This window comes from Homo sapiens, chromosome X (assembly GCF_000001405.40).
Source record: "Homo sapiens chromosome X, GRCh38.p14 Primary Assembly".
NCBI classification, from domain to species: domain Eukaryota; kingdom Metazoa; phylum Chordata; class Mammalia; order Primates; family Hominidae; genus Homo; species Homo sapiens.
In genome coordinates this window covers 16,573,599-16,593,778 of record NC_000023.11, presented here as the reverse complement: position 1 = coordinate 16,593,778, position 20,180 = coordinate 16,573,599, and the positions used below count along the sequence as shown (strand labels likewise).

The following is a 20,180-nucleotide window of genomic DNA, read 5'->3' as shown; positions in this document are numbered from 1 at the left end:
TTTTATATGTTTATCTAACATATGTTGTCTTTTCTGCCAGTTCTGAATCTTCTATCTCCTCTCCTTATTCTAGTGCTCCCCCCACCCCCGCCACCACCTACGCTGTTTTTGTTCAAAAGCCAGAGAAGGAAGTGAGCATGCAAATCAGGAAACAGATTGTCTTTTTGCCTATGCAGATTTGTCTGTGATTTTGTTTATTTATTAATATTCACTTAGCATGTTTAGAGTAAAATCTTCCTTTTCTAGTCTATCAGCATAGGGTTTCTCCAATTGTTCCCTTTCCTCAAAAAAAAAAAAAAAAGTAAAATTTCACCTGTTAGGGAATTCAGACTTTTTTTTTTTTTTTTTTTGAGACAGAGTCTTGCTCTGTCGCCCAGGCTGGAGTGCAGTGGCGCGATCTTGGCTCGTTGCAAGCTCCGCCTCCCGGGTTCACGCCATTCTCCTGCCTCAGCCTCCCGAGTAGCTGGGACTACAGGCGCCCGCCACCACACCCGGCTAATTTTTTGTATTTTTAGTAGAGTTGGGGTTTCACCGTGTTAGCCAGGATGATCTCGATCTCCTGACCTCGTGATCCGCCCACCTTGGCCTCCCAACGTGCTGGGATTACAGGCGTGAGCCACCGCACCTGGCTGGGAATTCAGACTTTTATTGCTATAAATCAGCAAAAGTTTGGCCAAGACTGGGGATGGGTCAGGCATGAAACATTTCCTTGTAATATCATCTCCATAGATCAGTAGAACTCTAGTGGAGTAGATCAGTGTGCTGATTTATTTGGAACTGAGTAAAAGGAACCACAAACAGACCCCACAGCTCAGAGTGAAAGTTGAGTTGCAGAGCTATCTCATGGGGAAGGGGTATTTCTAAGGCAACCCAACCTGGCGATATTTGTCAATAATTGGTCCTATTTTGAATACTTTCTGTGACTCAAGGTAATCAGGGCATTCCATATATTTCTAATTTTGAAATTTGCATAATTGTGAAAATTATTTCTCCAACTCTTGGACCTATGAGAATGTTGGAAGGGAAAACTTTCACGCTGCTGACCTAAAATCATAATGAAAACATGATCTGAAGGAGATAACATTTCAAGGCAAGTGTAGAGAGTGCGTTAACATTTTTTATGTCACTGCAGGGTGTTTTCTGGGTCTTGAGCCAATATGCACGTCTTAGTCCTCATGACCACCAAGTTCAAGCTCCTGTGCAATTTGCTGATCGTAGATGACTAGTTCCTCCGTAATGAGGAGGTGCTGTGATTCTCAAGCACGGAGGCCAGCACAGATCTGGATCTAGGGAGGTGCTGTGGTCCTTAAAACACAGAGCCAAAAGCCAAACTGCAGCTGAAAAGAATTACAGCATTTCGCTAATGTAATCAGGGATACACAGCTGTGTTCACTGTTCTCTAGTCCTTTCATGTTGCTAGAGGGGAGAAAAGATAGTTTTTCCTCTACCCATCATAGGTTCATGGCCAAGGCCCTGATAACAAAAAAACAGATTAACAAGCAAAAAGCATACAGTTGGGCACAGCAGCAGGTGCCTATAATCCCTGTTATAGCAGGTGCCTATAATTCCAGTTACTTGGAAGGCTGAGGTGGGAGGATCCCTTGAGGCCAGTAGTTGGAGACTAGCCTGGGCAACAGTGAGGCACCACCTCCCCACACTCACACACACACACACTCCAGCCCCATTTCTTAAAAAAAAAAAAGAGACAGAGAAAAGCATACAAATTTATTTAATGTAAGTATTATGGGAACCTTCATAAGGAAATGAAGATTCAAAGAAACAGGTAAACTCTGGTCTTTCTAAAACAGACCTGATGAAGAGTAGAGAGTCATGGAGAGTTATAATAGAGCAAAAAGAGTGTGATCTCATGGTAATATAGTAGGGGAACTTAGCAAGGCCTGTTTATTCAGATTCTTCCCTGGGATCCTGTGTCTTCAGAGATAAGGATACTCGTTTCCTCTGGGTATGGGGGTTGGGGGTACCTCTCACCTGAGGGCCTTTTGACCTGCTTGGAGAAGGTCAGAAAATCCTTCCGGGGTGTTATGACCTGCTTCAGTGGGGGAAGGTCAGAGGAAGGTCAGAGAGAACTTCTTGCACATGCTGTCTCAAATTCCTTCCGCTTCATGCAATGTATATGTGGGGGCTGTTATGGTTAGAGTCATAATAGTCTAGGTCAGGGGTTGACAGACTTTTTCTGTAAGGTTAGAGAGTAAATATGTTAGGCTTATGAGCCATACGCAATATGCCAAGATGCCATATTTTGGGGTAGTGTGTCCTGAACTCCCTCATTGCCAAAGGAAACAGTTGTCATCAGAAGAATGAAGAATGAAAAAAACAAACTGAAGATCCAGGTAATATCGTATGCTATGTTATTACATTGAAGAACAAATTGACATCAGTAGGAGTAGGACTAAGTGATGCTCAACCTCAGATGGACTGAGGTTTAGTCCCTAGTATGACAAGAGTAGATTCACAGAAAATAAATGGGTCCATCAACTCAGGCTTTCATTTTAAATCAGTTTGTTAATATAACACCTCTAGTAGAAAGCAAGCAATAGTTAAGGTGGCAGGAAGGCAATCTACTTTCAAGGCTTTTATTAAAGTTTAGAAATGATCAGTGGTCTTCAGAAGATTATAAATTTCAGTCTAAACTGAAATGCGTTTTTAATTTTCTGAATAAGTAACTTCCAGTTTACGATGAAAATAAGTGATCAGTTTCTCTGACCAAAGAAAGAGGCCATTGCATGTGATTGGACTGACCTCTTCCTGTGGTGACTAGAAAGTGCTAAAAGAATATTCTTTAGTATTTTCTCTCATACTAAGGGGTTAATATGGAATGTGTTTGAAATTGCAAATTGAATAATTGTCCAGGTTTTTTTTTTATACCTTGCTAAATTAGTTCCTCTTTTAATCTAGTGATAGATACAGTGATGCCAGTGATGACAGCTTTTCAGAGCCAAGGATAGCTGAGTTGGAAATAAGCTGAAATGAATACATGACTGGGAATAATGGGGACTGCCTGTGAGGGTAAGATGGAATCTTCGAGGATTGTTCATTTCTCTCATGGACAAGCTGTCATCTTGGTATAGAGGCGGGTATTATAGGACTCGCCTCACAGGATCTTGCCCCTTTGAGATACTCCCATTTGACTGGCACAGTTAGCAGGACACGCATGACAGCCCATGACAGAGTTAGTGTTTGGGGAAAATGGAATGCACCTTGGGCCAGGAAAAAAAAAATATAAGTACACCTATAAATGTATATGTGGGGGCTGTTGTGGTTAGAGTCATCATAGTCTAGGCCAGGGGTTGACAGACTTTCTGTAAGGTCAGAGAGTAAATATCTTAGGCTTATGAGCCATGCAGTTCCTGCGGCAACTACTCAATTCTGCTGTTGTAGCAGGAAAGCAACCATAGACAATATGTAAGTGAACAAGCATGGCTGTGTTCCAATAAAATTTTATTTACAAAAACAGTTTGCTGATCCCTGGTCTAGGCCACTCATAGAAGAGCAGATTTCCTTGGATTTGTATAAAATAAAATTAAAATAAAATAAAACATAAAATAAAATAAAATAAAATAGTATTTGATTTCTTTGTAGGGAGATGCAAGAGACAGGCTTAGTGTCCAAGGGCAGCTTATTTTTCCATTGCTCTATTATGCACTATTAGAGAGAATACCAGCCTGGATAGCTTCAGTAAATTTATGCTCAGTGGCAGATAGTGCCTGGATTGCCCTAGGCATTATGGCAGGCCTTGACTTGTATAAGCTGTTCTTTAGCAGAGACAGCAGCTTTTGGAAGACTTGTAAAGTGTTCATTGCTTTCCTGTGAGGTCTCTTCATGTTTATCAGGGAAGATGCAAAGCTGTGTCTATTTAGTTTTGCCTCAAACATGGAGACCCTTTGGAGCAAGCCAAAATGGTGCAAAGGTTAGCTGGAGATATTGAAAGACTTGTATTATTCAGTTCCTGGTGTTGCTAATATTTATATTCTTTTCTTTTAAGCCTCTGAAATAATTGAAGGCAAGATGAAGGAACTATCTGAAGAAATCACTACACTCTTAGAGAATCCCTCTGTTCTCCAGCAAACATGGGATGTAAAGCCTCACAGGGAATCTGATAATACATACTTCTGTCAACCAGAACCAGAGGGGTAGTTTTCTTTTCCCTCCAGAGGCAGCCTTTGGTACTTAAAATATCTGTAGCTGATTAAATTTTTCCCAACAACCTCACTGGGGAGAAAGTGTGTTCATGTTTTGTCCAGCGGATCAGGATGTTAGGATGACGAGCAAGAGTCCAGGTCACTGTGCCTTTGCTGTGTTGTATGGAAAGGATGGCAGGGAACATGCTGTAAGTAATTTTGAGTAAGAAAATGAGTCACTGTGTTACCTGGAACTCAGCCACAGATTTGTGTGTGGTCCAAGATCATTGCAGTTTCTCACCCTGTTTATTTCCTGGTAAAAGTAAAATTGAATAGGTCCAAGACTTGGGGGTGGCAAGTAAGGCTTTGCCTCAGGCACAAAATTTAAGGGGGCTCCAAAAAACTCAGGAATCAAGATCAGCAATACAGTCTGAGTATCCCTTATGTGAAATGCTTGGGGCTAGAAGTGTTTTGAATTTCAGATTTTGGAATATTTGCATATACATGCGATATCTTGGGGATGAGACTCAAGACTAAACATGAAATTCATTTATGCTTCATATACACCTTATATACATAGCCTAAAGGTAATTTGATACAATATTTTAAATAATTTTGTGCATGAAACAAAGTTTCGACTGCATTTTGACTGTGATTTCTGGCATGAGATCAGTTATGGAATTTTCCACTTCTAGCGTCATGTTGGCATTCAGAAATTTTGAAATTTTGGAGCATTTTGGATTTTCAGATTAGGGATGCTCAACCTGTATATATATTTTTTAATCGACGTGAAATTCACGTAACATAGAATTAACCATTTTGAAGTGAACAATTTGGTTGCATTCACTGATGTTGAGCAACCACCACCTTTAACTATTTCCAAAACATTTTCATCACTCCAAAATAAATGCCTGTACACACTAGCAGTCACTCCCTATCTTCCCCTCCACCTGTCCGCTGGCAACCACTGATCTCCTTTTTATTTCTGTGGCTTTTTCTATTCTGGATATTTCATATAAGTGGAATTACACAATATATGTGGTCTTTTGTGTCTGGCTTCTTCTGAGACAGTAGGAAGGGGGGCTTGGCTTTGGCTCACCCCCACTAGAGCATTTTTTCATGCATTCCCACTGATCACAAAACCCATACTACTACCTCATTGACACCATACCTGCTAACCTCGAGGCTTTAGTCATACAAAGAAAATGGCCTTTCTGTATTGTTCTTCTGTGCTCTCATAATGCTTAACCATGTCTTTTACTTAAACAATTCCAGGAACTGGCCTTAGGAGATCCAAATAGGGAACCAAGATTGCAGAGTGTCCCATCTTGGGAGGGAATGCTGAATAATTAATTGATTTACAGCCTTGTTGCCGCTGGCCAGACCACCAGGTGGCCCATTACTCGAGATGATCATCACAACCAGATGATGCTAACCTATATCCTCTACCCTTCGCGTGCTTTGTCTGGGAAGTCTTTTGGCCCCATGTCAGTTTCTATTGCATTGAGAGCCCAAGAGCCCCTGGTCAGTCAGGCTTCCATTTAGCATGGCGTTTGCAAGGTTTACCCATGTTGTAGCATGTGTCAGAATTTCATTCCTTTCTATGGCTGAATAAAATTCCATTGTATGAATATACCACAATTTGTTTCACCTTTTGGTTATTGTGACTAATACTATGAACAATCACATGCAAATGTTTGTTGGAATGCCTGTTTTTAATTCTTTTGGGGTGTATGCCTAGGAGTGGAATTGCTGTGTCATATGTAATTCTCTTTAACTTCTGAAGAAGGATCAGTAATATTTTAATGTAGTATTATTTTAAAAAATCAAAATTAGGCCAGGTGCGGTGGCTCACACCTGTAATCCCAGCACTTTGGGAGGCCAAGGCGGGCGGATCATGAAGTCAGGAATTCGAGACCAGCCTGGCCAACATGGTGAAACCCCGTCTCTACCTAAAATACAAAAATTAGCTGGGCATGGTGGCCCGTGCCTGTAATCCCAGCTACTTGGGAGGATGAAGCAGGAGAATTGCTTGAGCCCGGGAGGCGGAGGTTGCAGTGAGCTGAGATTGCACCATTGCACTCCAGCCTGAGCGACAAGAGCAAGACTCCGTCTCAAAAAAAAAAAAAAAAAAAATCAAAATGAAATAATTCACATTTGAACACAAAATCAAATTTTCAAATAAAGACAGGATCCAGCTCTGCACCTCCTTCACCTCCCCCAGTCCTTGCCCCATTCTCTGACGTTCTTATCTAGTATGTTTTCTACTTTTTCCTGTTGAATGTGCTTGAGATGACTTAGTTGTTGCCTACATTTAAGCTTTCTAATACTAATTTAAATATTTTAATTGTTCAGTTAATTTTTTTGTGGTGGTTTTGCTCCCCCCCCAACTTTTTTTTAATGCCATAAGGTATTATGGCCTTATTTTGTAAGATGCCACAGAAAATTCATCTACCAAGCACATACAAAAATGAAATGAGTAATTCTGGTAAACAAAAAAATTAAAGAGCTTTAGGGCCCTGCTTGCGAAAATTACAGCTTGAAGATCACAAGAGGCTCCAAATGAAAAGCCCGCACCCACGGTAGGTTAAAAGCTGGAATAGGCCTCATAGAGAGGGGGTTGGAAGCTCAGAGGCAACACTTTTAACATCACAAAGGGGTAGTCTGGCTTAAATGGAAGTTTTCAATTTTAATGATTGTGATTTCTAAAGTCATTTGTAACAGAGTGCTTTCCTGTGGGCTAATGATGCATGTAAACAGGACCAGAAAGACAAGCACTTAAGAAACAATAAACCATCCTGTCCCCTTGAACTTGGAATGTAGGGAAGCACAGAAGGACAGTAGCATGGCTGCTTAGCATACAGGTACTGGAACAAGAGTGAGACATGAGCACATAGAAAGTCACTATAAATCATTACTCAACAAATGTTTCTTGAGCCAGGCATGGTGATAGGGGTCCCAGTCCAGACCCCAAAAGAGGGTTCTTGGATCTTGCGCAAGAAAGAATTTGGGGGCAAATTCATAGAATAAAGTTTATTAGAGAAGTAAAAGAGACAAAAGAATGGCTACTCCATAGACACAGCAGCGGCACGCGCTGCTGACTGGGTATACTTATGGTTATTTCTTGATCATATGCTAAATAAAGGGTAGATCATTCATGAGTTTTCTGGGAAAGGGGTGGGGAATTCCTGGAACTGAGGGTTCCTCCCCTTTTTAGACTATATAGGGTAACTTCTGAACACTGCCATGGCATTTGTAAGCTGTCATGGTGCTAGTGGAAATTTCTTTAAGCATGCTAATGCATTATAATTTGAGTATAATGAGCAGTGAGGATGACTAGAGGTCACTTTTCTCACCATCTTGGTTTTGGCTGGCTTCTATACCACATCTTGTTTTATGGTCAGAGTTTTTATGACCTGTATCTTGTGATACCAGTCCTGCCAACCTCCTATCTCATCCTGTGACTAAGAATGCCTAACCTCCTGGGAATGCAGCCCAGTAGGTCTCAGATTCATTTTACCCAGCCCCTATTCAAGATGGAGTCACTCTGGTTCAAATGCCTCTCACAATGTCAGGTGCCGGGGGTGCAGTGGGGAGTAACCTCAGATAGAATAGAAAAGGAACTCAGTTCCTTTTTCACGTTTTTTTTTTTCTTCTTGTCTCACTGATCACAAGACCCACACCCCTGCCTTGCTGACAATTGGTTTTAGATAAGGCTTCAGGCTTACAAAGAAAATAGCCATTCTTCTGTGCTCTCATAATGTTTAATCATGCCTTTTACTTAAAAGAATTCCAGGAACTGGCCTTAGGAAATCTAAACATCAAACCGAGGTTTCAGAATGTCCCATCATGGGAAGGGAAGGAACCCTGAACAATTGATTTGCAGCCTTGTTACAGCTGGCCAGACCCCCAGGTGGCCCATTACTCAAGATAACCATCACAACTAGATACGCTAACCAGCATCCCCTACCCGTCACGTGCTTTGCCCAGGCCAGCCTGCATACCCTACCCATGATACCAATTCCTGTGTTTGCCTAATAAAAAAAATCCCTACCACCTTTTCAGGGAGTCAGCTTGAGGGTCCTTGTACCTCTGGTGTCTCCCCTGCACTCGAGCACAAGCCCCAAGATAAAAGCCTTTTCTGGAAATCTGCTTGTCCCCATGTTAACTTTTATTACATGATGAGCCCAAGAGCCTGTCATCTGTAACAAACCTGCCTTCAGACCTGACCATCTCTTGGGGGAAGGCAGGCTTTAAACAAATCTATAGGGAAATAAGTATTTAATTATATTAATAATTGTGATATGTTTAGAGGCTATGACACTATCAAAGAACAAGGACAAGGGGGCTTGAGAGTTTAAAATGGGGTCCTATCAGAAACTAGAGAGCCAAGGACAGCCTCCTGAACAAAGCAGGTAAATACTTTACCTGGTTTTGTGTGTGGTCACACAGTGCAAAGACAACGGGCCGAGAGCTCTGAGACCCAGTGGGGATGTGCTTTTCCTGACTGACAGGACAGTTGGGTGAGTGGTGGCACTGTTTCAATGGTATCTTCATCTGCTTGTTGTCAGCCTATAAATGTCAATGAAGTGAAAGTGTAGGCTAAGTGACAATTAAGAATGGAGTTAGGGCTGGGCATGGTAGCTCATGACTATAATCCCAACATTTTGGGAGGCTGAGGCAGGAGGATCGCTTCAGCCCAGGAATTCAAGACTGGCTTGGGCAATATAGTGAGACCCTGTCTCCATGAAAAATAAAAAAAAATTAGCTGGGCATGGTGGTACATGCCTATACTTCCAGCTACTTGAGAGGCTAAGGTGGGAGGATCACTTGAGCCTGGGAGGTCAAGGCTGAGGTGAGCTGTGATGGCACCACTGCACTCCAGCCTGGGAGACAGTGAGACCGTCTCACAAAAAAAAAAAAAAAAGCTAGATGGCTTATGGAGAAAACAAGCAAACAAGAATGGGTCTCTTCCAATCTAATTGTCACTTTTGTTGCTGTATTTCTTTCTTGAACTTTCTATTTTGTTAAAATAAGTACTATTTACATACACATCTGTACTCTGTTAAAGTCAGTGCCAGACATTGGCCGTCACCACCATTTCTCCTACAGCTAAGGTTCTGCAACCCAAAGGTGCCATAGAAAATCAGGTAAGATACTTAGAAATGTGTAGGGGAGGGCCAGGTGTGGTGGCTCACGCCTGTAATCTCAGCACTTTGCGAGGCCGAGGCGGGCGGATCATGAGGTCAGGAGTTCAAGACCAGCCTGGCCAACATGATGAAACCCGATCTCTACTAAAAATACAAAAAAATTAGCCAGGTGTGGTGGCACGCGCCTGTAGTCCCAGCTAGTCAGGAGGCTGAGGCAGGATAATTGCTTAAACTGGGAGGCAGAGGTTGCAGTGAGCCAAGACCACGCCATTGCACTTGAGCCTGGTCAACAGACTGAGACTCCGTCTCAAAAAAAAAAAAAAAAATGTGTAGGGGAGGAAAAATATTTTTTTTAATCTACCCATTCCAAGTTCATGGCTGAGGCCCTATAACAGAAGACAGATTAATGAGAGAAAAGTGTACAAATTTTTTAAAGTTTTATGTGACACATGAACCTTCATAAGAAAATGAAGACCCGAAGAAACAGTTAAAGCTGAGAAGCTGAGGGTTTTTTATTGTAGGTTTGGTGAAGAGTGGAGATTGTGAATCCCGAAAATCTGAGACACGTCTCAGTTAATTTAGAAAGCTTATTTTGCCAAGGTTGAGGACGTGCACCCATAATATGGCCTCAGGAGATCCTGATGACAAGTGCCTAAGGTGGTCAGAGCACAGCTTGGTTTTATACATTTTAGAGAGACATTAGACATCAATCAGTATGTGTTAAGATGTACATTGGTTCAGTCCGGAAAGGTGGGACAACTCGAGGCAAAGGCGTGTGAACCCAGATAATTTGAGGTAGGTCCCAGTTAATTTAGAAAGTTTATTTTGCCAGGGTAGAGGATGTGCCCATGACACAGCCTCAGGAAGTCCTGACGACATGTGCCCAAGGTGGTAGGGGCACAGTTTAGTTTTATACATTTTAGGGAGACATGAGACATGAGACATCAATATATGTAAGAAGTACATTGGTTTGGTCTGGAAAGGCGGGACAGCTTGAAGCAAAGGCAGGAAGACTCAAAGCAGGGACTGGGCTTCCAGGTCACAGATAGGTGAGAGATGGAAAGTTGCATTCTTTTGAGTTTCTGCTTAGCCTTTCCAAAGGAGGCAATCAGATAGCATCTATCTCAGTGAGCAGAGGGGTGACTGTGAATAGAATGAGAGGATGGTTGGCCCTAAGCAGTTCTCAGCTTGACTTTTCCCTTTAGCTTAGTGATTTGGGGGCCCCAAGATTTATTTTCCTTTCACAGGTGGGACAACTCAAAGTGCGGAGGGGGTTTCCAGGTCATAGGTAGATAAGAGACAAATGGTTGCATTCTTTTGAGTTTCTGATTAGCCTCTCCAAATGAGGCAGTCAGATATACACTTATCTCAGTGAGCAGAGAGGTGACTTTGAATAGAATGGGAGGCAGGTTGGCCCTAAGCAGTTCCCAGCTTGACTTTTCCCTTTAGCTTAGTGATGTTGGGGCCCCAAGATTTATTTTCCATTCATATTTTCCCCCTTTTCTTTTTAAAAATCTTTTGGAGAAAGCATTTTAGGAGAAAATGAGTCTCTGGTCTCAGGTTTCATCTGATCTGTCATGGCTAGGATGGTTTATTCCTAGACGGGTAGGTCCCCAGTTATTAGGAAAGTTCATTTTTAGCAGGTTGTGAAGTCTCATGTCCTATGAAGAGAAAATGGGGGAGGAAGGGATAAAAACAACAACAAACAAAAGAACAATCCTGGAAAATCGATATAGGCCACATTACTCTGAAGTTTATATATCAGTAGGCAGGGATGAAAGTGCCTTATGTATGTAAGCAGGTTGCTGTTATTTTCTTCTAAAGTTTAAGTTGTCTGGCTTCAGTTTGCAGGGTTTACAAAAGCACAGCTTAGTTTTCAGTGACTCCAAATTAGGAAAAATGGGGGAAAAAAAGAAGGAAAAAACTTGAAAACATTATTTTGAAGACTTGTAGCCAAGAAAAATTAGAATTCAGTCCAAACTGTAAAAAATAATAACAATTGAAAAACATTAGGCAAGGCTAGAGTCTAACAACAGGTGTACTATAGTTTCTGAAACGTAATTTTTCTCTCTGCAGTTTCCCATTTCTACTAAAGAGAAATCATGGTAGGACCGATTTGCTTTGTTATACTTGGCATGATTATTTCTATAAAGTGCAGCAAGAATAATTATTTTTTTACATAGGCTTTTAAATTGGCTTTGATGGAAATTTGTTCCATAGAAGGAATCTCGGATAAGACTTTTTAAAAGCCAAGCTCAGCCATGGATTTGTACCATCAAATACCTATGAGTTGGGTGAATTCCTCTCCTCTTGAGGTTCCAATATAAACTTGGGGTTCCTGGGCCTGTCAGAAAGTGACATGCTTCACTTACCACAGGTCAGGAACCCTGTACAGGAACTGTGTAGACTAGGTATGAGGCCAGTATTTCCAAGGGGCTTTTATTGGCTCCATAAGTCAAGTTTGGTTTTTTAAAGGAAAGCACACCATTCCAGTCAAAGCCTTGGCAAAATAACCAGTTTCTCCAATTGTGTCTGAAAACAGATTCTTATTGCACTTATGCAAATAACTGTGTTGCCATAAGTTAAGAATATTCACAAATAGTTTCCAAATTCTGGAGAAATCAGGTAGAGAGAAACAAATATATTTTAAATTTTGTTCATAGGAGTATACTAAATTGTTAAAAGCTGTCAATAGTGCAAAAGAAGTTTCCTGACTCTGGAAAAACGAAACAAAGGATCAGCAGCATTTTAAGCAAAAAGTCAAAAAGATTACCTCAGTTTTGTATTAGTTCTGTCCATGCAGTTAATTCCTGTTCTGCCTGATGTTCATGAACATTTCACTTCTCCATGAGTCCTAAAAGTTTTTCCTCTATTCTGATGTCACAATCTCCAAAGTTATCAGAAACTTGTACTCAAGAGCACCTGTTAAGAGTTTTATAGATGATTATAAAACCACCTTCTAAAGAGGACCAAAACAAGACAACAATTGTCTATGGATGACAAAAAGTTTAGGGGCAGCCATAGTCAAGGACACAACTGACAAGGAAATTCATTACCTCTGTGGCACACAATAACTTAACATAACAGTTATAATTATTACTGATAATGTACACTAAGCATATTAGAATTATAGTCCCATATATCCATATTTATACAAATACAGCCCAAAAAAACCCAAACACCAGTTCATATTTGACAATGTTTCCTGTATAATTTTTATACCAAATAAGCCAAATTATGTTATTTTGGACTTTAGGGAGCCTAATATCTTAAAGGATTAATTAGGTCAGAGAAAGACATAATTTACAATTTGATTTTGGAAAGTTTGTCAAATATCAAAGATTTAAAACACGTGATGTCACAGGTCATTGTAAAATAAGTCATTCCTTTGACCAAAGTGATAACTCAAGGACTTCAAAAAAAGGAGAAAACCTTCATTCTTTGAGAGGAGACTTAATTTTGCAAACAATAAGCCCTAATAGAAACATCATAAAGCCAATTAAATTTGTTTTTCAAAATTTTATAAACAATGTATAAGATTTTTAATCTTGACCGTAAGATATGACTTCCATAAGCCTTTTATAACCTTTATAACCTTTATTATTATTAAGCAGTCGGTTAATGCTTCAAGAAAACCTTGTTAATTTGACATAGGGGCACATATGCTGGTCTTGCATCAGTGTGTCTTTGACATTAATGATTAATTTATAGAGAAACTGAACTTATTTTATCTCTCAAAATCAGCCCTTACAATCTCACATGTCCACGTCTTCCACGATAGTCCCTGGGCCTTGAGGAGTTGAATAGCTTTAATTTCTGGCCCTGTGTCTCAGGAATGCAGTTTATTTTGATTGACATCTTCTACCACGCCTGAGGATGAAGCTATAATTGCTGTCAGTGTTTAAGATTTAGCAGGACTTGGTATCCTTTTTAGACCCAGGAGTCAAAGCCCTGTAACTCAATGTCACAAATACTTTAAGAAGCACATACATCTTTCTAGATATACAGATGTAATAACCTTAATTTAAAAAAAGTTTAATCTCAGTTTTTTCCCTAAGCAAACCGAAACTTAATTGTCAGGTCTCTGAGCCCAAGCCTGCACGTATACATCCAGATGGCCTGAAGTAACTGAAGAAATCACAAAAGAAGTGAAAATGGCCGATTCCTGCCTTAACTGATGACATTACCTTGTGAAATTCCTTCTCCTGGCTCAGAAGCTCCCCCACTGAGCACCTTGTGACCCCTGCCCCTGCCCGCCAGAGAGCAACCCCCTTTGACTGTAATTTTCCACTACCTACCCAAATCCTATAAAACGGCCCCACCCCTATCTCCCTTCGCTGACTCCTTTCGGACTCAGCCCGTCTGCACCCAGGTGATTAAAAAGCTTTATTGTTCACACAAAGCCTGTTTGGTGGTCTCTTCACACGGACGCGTATGACAATAATAATGGCATAGGAATTGTTTCAATAAAATGTAAAGTCTGTTAGGCCAGTTACCAAAAGGCAAAAGAAAAGGTCTGCACTGCACAGAATATTATGTTGGAAGAAAACATTTCCTTTAGACCTTTAAGAAAACATTGTTAGCATTAGTCCACAACAAACAGAACTTAAGGAAAAAAAAACTTTTATGAGCTGAAAATGAGTCGAAGGAGAGCTTTACTGTTTCGCACCTTTTAAAAGGGGAGAGAAAACAGAAAATGGTGAGATGCAATAAAAGTTGAACTTTATTGCTTCTAACCTCCAAGCTGTCCTTGTTTATTCCTGGGCATAGGCCGAACTAACTTAGGGAGGAACTCAGTTTATAGTTTAGCTTTGAAACAAAGACAATAACAGTCCCTTCCCAAAACAAACCTTACTTGCCTGTGGACTAGACTGCCTAAAGCCACACAATTAGAAGTCATGGTAATCTTACTAGATCTAAGATGTAGCTATTTTTATTTAAACCAATATCAATGTCTTATTTATTAAAGTTTACACAAGCAAAAATTATTCTGTTTTGGGCTGGCTTTATAGTTTTGTAGCCCTTATGCCAAATTTTGATAACTTATAGTATTTGGCAGGGATAAGTATGAAATTGCTTGATTAATAAATGCAAACGAAAATGTATGCTGGCAATTCTTAAGACACTTCTAATATTACTTTAGCAATAATTTTAAAGCTAGCTTATTTATTAAAGATTTTACTTAAGTTACATAAACTTGAAAAAGCATTTGACTAGTGTTTTCTTTTTTCCTTATAAAGCATTTGATTCAAGCGCTTTATTTTTTAAGCCAATTAATTAGAGCTCTTTTATATATCTTCAGTAAACACTGTGTATGCAACACGATACGTGGACGTATTAGGTATGCTGATAGATGTTACAGATTCATAAAAACCTTTTTTTCCCCCATCTTAGGACTTTCAAATTCTTGATAACCTGTTTTATTACCCTAGGCAGTTGTCAGCTAAATAGCTTTAAATTTGCATATGAAAGGAAACAACTCAGGTGAAAATCAAAAAGCAAAATTTACATCCTAAGGTACGGAGAGAAAAAGTCTGGTGTGCTAGAGGGAAATTAAAATGGATTTAATTGCCAATTAAACATAAAATTATAGAAATTATAAAGGCCTTTCAAATATACACAAACACACACACACACAAAGATCCTCTAGCTTTTACTTCAGAACTTTAACCATGAGAACTTTAGCCATGAGATAAATACAAATTCACAGGCTTGCAAAAAAAACCTGTTTGATCCAAACAGTGGTTTTCACTTAATAGAAAAATAACAGCAGATTTAAAGTAGGCAGAAAAGAAAAATAGAGAAAAAGAGAACTTAGGAACTCTATAGTTTGCAGGTCAACCTTAGGGCTCTTTTTCCTTAATGTAAATGAGCACAAAAACCATATTACTTCTATTTTACATAAACTCTGCCAAGTAGAGGTGCCATAAAACCTAAGGAGTGCTCGAAAGGGGGTCATTCTCTTTGTTTTCTCCTCAGTTTTAGATTGTCTCCCACATTTTTTTTCCTTAAAAGGAAGAACTGAGCTGTGGCCTAGGGGTTTTGTGTGGTGGATCAATGCGTGCTGCTTGTGGGCAGGACTCCACAGTGTGTCACCACTGAGTTGCTTCCACCCTCTTACATGTCTCAGCTTCTCTCTCCAGAGGTCTGTGACCTTGGAGAGGGCTCAAAATGCCTGGTGATCAACTCTTATGTGTGTTTCCTGGATGAGCCTTTTTAAAAAATTAATTTTTATTGGGGATTTCCCTGTGGGGCTACTGCCACTGGGGTTAACCCCCCAGACACTCCCATGAAGCCCCTGGTCACCTGGGGCACCTTTTGGCTGGGAGGAGCAAATGCCCTTTCTTTTTGGAGCTGAGAAAACTCAGTCTCTCATTTATCTATGAAAACAATAGCTCAGTTCCTCACGCAAATGAGCACAGACAAGCTGAATTGAGATTAATTTTGGGAGAAAAAGCAATAGAGAAGACCCCTTAGAATGCATGCCTGAACTAGAATTAAGATCCTTAACAAGTTCCTAGGAGAGAAAAAACAACAGCAGCCGCCAAGACCATTTCCTGTAAACTGTGCTCAGCCACCCCTACTTTGTAGCTCTTGTCCGCCATTACACACACCAAGGTCAAATCTTCTCACAGTACATGGTAATCTCTGGTACCTCCAAAGCCAAAGAGGTCAGGTCAGGCAATACAGGAAAACAGAGCTTTCATCCTAAGAAGAATCTGTCCATGACTCTTGAAACTCCACAAAGAAAACAGAACACCCCCTACAAAGAGGTAAGTGGCACCTTTGTTCTGAATTCTTTAAAGGAGTTCAAGTCATTAGAAGCCTCCTCTAGAAGGGAAGGAGGTGTAGGGTGAAAGAAAAGTAAATGAAAGAACTTTTTTTTTTTAAGACAGGAAGCAAACACAGAAACCAAGGGCATTGTTTTTTGTTTTTGTTGTTGTTGTTTTCTTTTTTCCCTCTTTTGCAGCTGCAAGGAATTTGGGCCAAATTAGAGAGGCTTTGTTACCCATAATTTGGAATTCTCACTCAGATCGGACCAAGTCAGGTAGAGTTGGTCAAATCTGATGGGAGAAAGACCGGAATAAACAACAATAACAAAAAACCCCCAACATGATCACCGAGCGCTCTAACGGTAAAGAGAAATTAAGACCAGCTGGTAGTTAAACTTTAACCAAGACAAAACCCCAATTCAGCTACTTACCTAGGAATGGGTCTCAGGCTGAAGACTGCTTTCTACCATCCTAGAAGCAGGAAAAAAACCCTCAAACTCATCTTCCTTGCTGGGAGTGAGCTCAAACTCTATAAGGCAGTTACCTGCCTTCCATTGTCATGGAAACAGGAAATCCTACCTTCCTTGTTGGAAGCAAGGAAAACTCCAAAAAAAAAAAAAAAAAAAAAAAAAGGAGTTGTATAGCAAAATAAACTTTTGATCTCAAGCAAATTTTGGGGATTCTCTGGAGGGAGTGCTTCCAGACCTCAACAAATTGTCCTATTGGTTTGAGCCATAAAGTTAGCTCAGGCTGGTACCAAGCACTGATAGGAGATTTGCCTAAGGTCAGGGGCATCTCCACATATAATCCCTTCGTGGTTGCCAAAATATGAACCCCCAAAGTCTGAGACAAGTCTCAGTTAATTTAGAAAGTTTATCTTGCCAAGGTTGAGGACATGTGCCCATGACAGCCTCAGGAGGTCCTGACAACATGTGCCTAAGGTGGTAGGGGCACAGCTTGGTTTTATACATTTTAGGGAGACATGAGACATCAGTCAACATGTGTCTGGAATTGGTGGGCTCTTGGTCTCACTGACTTCAAGAATGAAGCCACGGACCCTCGCGTTGAGTGTTACAGCTCTTAAGGTGGCGCGTCTGGAGTTTGTTCCTTCTGAAGTTCGGATGTGTTCGGAGTTTCTTCCTTCTGGTGGGTTCGTGGTCTTGCTGGCTCAGGAGTGAAGCTGCAGAACTTCGCGGTGAGTGTTACAGCTCATAAAGGCAGTGTGGGCCCAAAGAGTGAGCAGCAGAAGGATTTATTGCAAAGAGCGAAAGAACAAAGCTTCCACATTGGGGAAGGGGACCCCAACGGGTTGCCACTGCTGGCTCGGGCAGCCTGCTTTTATTCGCTTATCTGGCCCCCACCCACATCCTGCTGATTGGTAGAGCAGAGTGGTCTGTTTTGACAGGGCGCTGATTGGTGCGTTTACAATCCCTGAGCTAGACACAAAGGTTCTCCACGTCCCCACCAGATTAGCTAGATACAGAGTGTGGACACAAAGGTTCTCCAAGGCCCCACCAGAGTAGCTAGATACAGAGTGTGGATTGGTGCATTCACAAACCCTGAGCTAGACACAGGGTGCTGATTGGTGTGTTTACAAACCTTGAGCTAGATACAGAGTGTGATTGGTGTATTTACAATCCCTGAGCTAGACATAAAGGTTCTCCAAGGCCCCACCAGAGTAGCTAGATACAGAGTGTGGATTGGTGCATTCACAAACCCTGAGCTAGACACAGGGTGCTGATTGGTGCATTTACAATCCCTTAGCTAGACATAAAGGTTCTGCACGTCCCCACCAGATTCAGGAGCCCAGCTGGCTTCACCCAGTGGATCCCGCACTGGGGCTGCAGGTGGAGCTGCCTGCCAGTCCCGCACCGTGTGCCCGCACTCCTCAGCCCTTGGGTTGTCGATGGGACTGGGTGCCGTGGAGCAGGGGGCGGCGCTCGTCAGGGAGGCTCGGGCCGCACAGGAGCCCACGGAGCGGGGGGAGGCTCAGGCATGGCGGGCTGCAGGTCCCGAGCCCTGCCCCACGGGAAGGCAGCTAAGGCCCGGCGAGAAATCCAGCACAGCGCTGGTGGGCCGGCACTGCTGGGGGACCCAGCGCACCCTCCGCAGCCGCTGGCCCGGGTGCTAAGCCCCTCATTGCCCGGGGCCCGCAGGGCCGGCCAGCTGCTCCGACTGCCGGGCCGCCAAGCCCACGCCCACCCGGAACTCCAGCTGGCCCGCAAACGCCGCACGCAGCCCCGGTTCCCGCTCGCGCCTCTCCCTCCACACCTCCCTGTAAGCTAAGGGAGCCGGCTCCAGCCTTGGCCAGCCCAGAAAGGGGCTCCCACAGTGCAGCGGTGGGCTGAAGGGCTCCTCAAGTGCCGCCAAAGTGGGAGCCCAGGCAGAGGAGGCGCGGAGAGGGAGCGAGGGCTCTGAGGACTGCCAGCTCGCTGTCACCTCTCAAACATATGTAAAATGAACATTGGTTCCATCTGGAAAGGCAGGACAACTGGAGATGGAGAGGAGGCTTCCAGGTCACAGGTAGGTGAGAAACAAATGGTTGCATTCTTTTAAGTTTCTGATTAACCTTTCCAAAGGAGGCAATCAGATATGCATTTATCTCAATGAGCAGAGGGATGACTTTGAATATAACGGGAGGCAGGTTGGCTCTAAGCAGTTCCCAGCTTGACTTTTCCCGTTAGCTTAGTGATTTTGGGGCACCAAGATTTATTTTCCTGTCACAAGATTAATGGAGAAATATGATAGGGCAAAGAGTATGATCTGGGGTAGTGAACTGGGGGAACTTAGCAAGGCTTGTTCATTCACATTCTTCTCTGTGTCCCTGTGTCTTCAGAGATAAGAATGCTCCTTTGCTCCAGCTGTAGGGACGGCACCTCTCACCTAGGGTCTTATGACCTCCGTCAGAGGAGAAGGGCAGGGAAAGGTCAGAGAGACCTTCCTGCTATTGTGGTTTCCTCAGATTTCTTCAGCTTCAAATACTTGATACGCTGAAGTGACATATTTTGGAGTAGTATGTCCTGAGCCCCATCACAAGCAGCTTCTTTTTTAAAAAAATAATTTCAACTTTTATTTTAGATTTGGGGGTATATGTGCAGGTTTGTTACTTGGGTATATTCCATGATGCTGAGGTTTGGGGTACAAATGATCCCATCACCCAGGCAGTGAGCATAGTACCCAATTGGTAGTTTTTCTGTGCTTTCTCCCACACTCTCTCCCCAGTCTAATGGTCCCCAGTGTCTATTGTTCCCATCTATTTTCATGTGTACTCAATACAAATAGCTTCTGTTCTTTGAGACTGATGTCCCTGAATATCACTAAAAGATGATGGCAAATTCCATGGACGTCATTCAGTTTCATTGCTCCTGAGTGAGGCCCACTTTCCATCCCTGTGGCTTTGTCTGTATTACCTGCTTCCTCTGAGACAAATAACAGTGAAAAGCTGGGGAATCCAGTTGATACCATTTGATCATAGAGCTCATTTTTAAGCTTGAGTGTTGTCTTAAACTTTCATCTTTTTCTTCGACACGAAATTGTTTTGAAGATAGATGTATTGTTTCGATTTGTTTTCTCTGAGGGAGACTATGCTTTTAGTCAATATGCTGGGAGAATTCTATAGAGTAAGATAAAAGCCTAGAACCTGGAGGATGGAGCCAGCATCCCAGGAAACTAAAGTTTTCCAGGCTGAATCATCCTCTCAAGGGGATTCTCTGAACTAGAGAAACCTCATCACATGCCACAGACCAGGATGATGAGACTACTTGTCATGATAATCACTTCTGTAGAGAATTTAATGGTAAGAGATTGATATTTGGATAATTTATATGATCTACATTTCTGGAATAGCAATTTCTGAGTTGATTTGCACAATTGTTTCAGTGTCTTCAGAGGTAAGAAGATGCAAAAGTAATTTTCAACCCAGAATGTGACTTCTTTGTTGCCAGCATTGATTCATACCAAGATTTCTGATAGGATGAGATTTTTCTTTTGTGGCTTTTGAAACATCTTTGCTTTTCTGAGGGACTATCACAGACCCTATGGTTTTATCTCATAAACTAGATGTTTTTCTCCTGTTCCCCCCATTATCTTTCCTTTTTTCCAAACTTCCTAAGCATAAT

At 41.8% G+C, this 20,180-nt stretch overlaps 1 protein-coding gene across 9 annotated transcripts in view, besides 7 other annotated features; it reads left to right on the top strand.

Annotated features, from left to right (window-relative positions):
* Positions 1 to 5,780, top strand: part of CTPS2 (CTP synthase 2) — a 124,912-nt gene extending 119,132 nt beyond the window's left edge. For all 9 annotated transcript variants that reach the window (NM_019857.5, XM_006724503.4, XM_047442260.1 and 6 more), the window contains 2 exons: positions 2,917 to 3,027; positions 4,004 to 5,780. In NM_019857.5, the coding sequence (NP_062831.3) occupies positions 2,917 to 2,986 (70 nt within the window). In that variant the 3' untranslated portion in view covers positions 2,987 to 3,027; positions 4,004 to 5,780. The remainder of the gene's footprint in view (positions 1 to 2,916; positions 3,028 to 4,003) is intronic.
* Positions 6,353 to 7,136: an enhancer, noted in NCBI's record as "OCT4-NANOG-H3K27ac hESC enhancer chrX:16604766-16605549 (GRCh37/hg19 assembly coordinates)". NCBI's record gives its function as "activates a minimal SCP1, AML or CMV promoter by ChIP-STARR-seq in naive and primed H9 embryonic stem cells {active_cell/tissue: H9 hESC(naive and primed)}" and the evidence as "EXISTENCE:reporter gene assay evidence [ECO:0000049][PMID:30033119]".
* Positions 12,641 to 13,487: an enhancer, noted in NCBI's record as "NANOG-H3K27ac hESC enhancer chrX:16598415-16599261 (GRCh37/hg19 assembly coordinates)". NCBI's record gives its function as "activates a minimal SCP1, AML or CMV promoter by ChIP-STARR-seq in naive H9 embryonic stem cells {active_cell/tissue: H9 hESC(naive)}" and the evidence as "EXISTENCE:reporter gene assay evidence [ECO:0000049][PMID:30033119]".
* Positions 13,488 to 14,334: an enhancer, noted in NCBI's record as "NANOG-H3K27ac hESC enhancer chrX:16597568-16598414 (GRCh37/hg19 assembly coordinates)". NCBI's record gives its function as "activates a minimal SCP1, AML or CMV promoter by ChIP-STARR-seq in naive H9 embryonic stem cells {active_cell/tissue: H9 hESC(naive)}" and the evidence as "EXISTENCE:reporter gene assay evidence [ECO:0000049][PMID:30033119]".
* Positions 14,495 to 14,997: an enhancer, noted in NCBI's record as "OCT4-NANOG hESC enhancer chrX:16596905-16597407 (GRCh37/hg19 assembly coordinates)". NCBI's record gives its function as "activates a minimal SCP1, AML or CMV promoter by ChIP-STARR-seq in primed H9 embryonic stem cells {active_cell/tissue: H9 hESC(primed)}" and the evidence as "EXISTENCE:reporter gene assay evidence [ECO:0000049][PMID:30033119]".
* Positions 14,998 to 15,502: an enhancer, noted in NCBI's record as "OCT4-NANOG-H3K27ac hESC enhancer chrX:16596400-16596904 (GRCh37/hg19 assembly coordinates)". NCBI's record gives its function as "activates a minimal SCP1, AML or CMV promoter by ChIP-STARR-seq in naive H9 embryonic stem cells {active_cell/tissue: H9 hESC(naive)}" and the evidence as "EXISTENCE:reporter gene assay evidence [ECO:0000049][PMID:30033119]".
* Positions 15,503 to 16,006: an enhancer, noted in NCBI's record as "OCT4-NANOG-H3K27ac hESC enhancer chrX:16595896-16596399 (GRCh37/hg19 assembly coordinates)". NCBI's record gives its function as "activates a minimal SCP1, AML or CMV promoter by ChIP-STARR-seq in naive H9 embryonic stem cells {active_cell/tissue: H9 hESC(naive)}" and the evidence as "EXISTENCE:reporter gene assay evidence [ECO:0000049][PMID:30033119]".
* Positions 17,520 to 18,023: an enhancer, noted in NCBI's record as "H3K27ac-H3K4me1 hESC enhancer chrX:16593879-16594382 (GRCh37/hg19 assembly coordinates)". NCBI's record gives its function as "activates a minimal SCP1, AML or CMV promoter by ChIP-STARR-seq in naive H9 embryonic stem cells {active_cell/tissue: H9 hESC(naive)}" and the evidence as "EXISTENCE:reporter gene assay evidence [ECO:0000049][PMID:30033119]".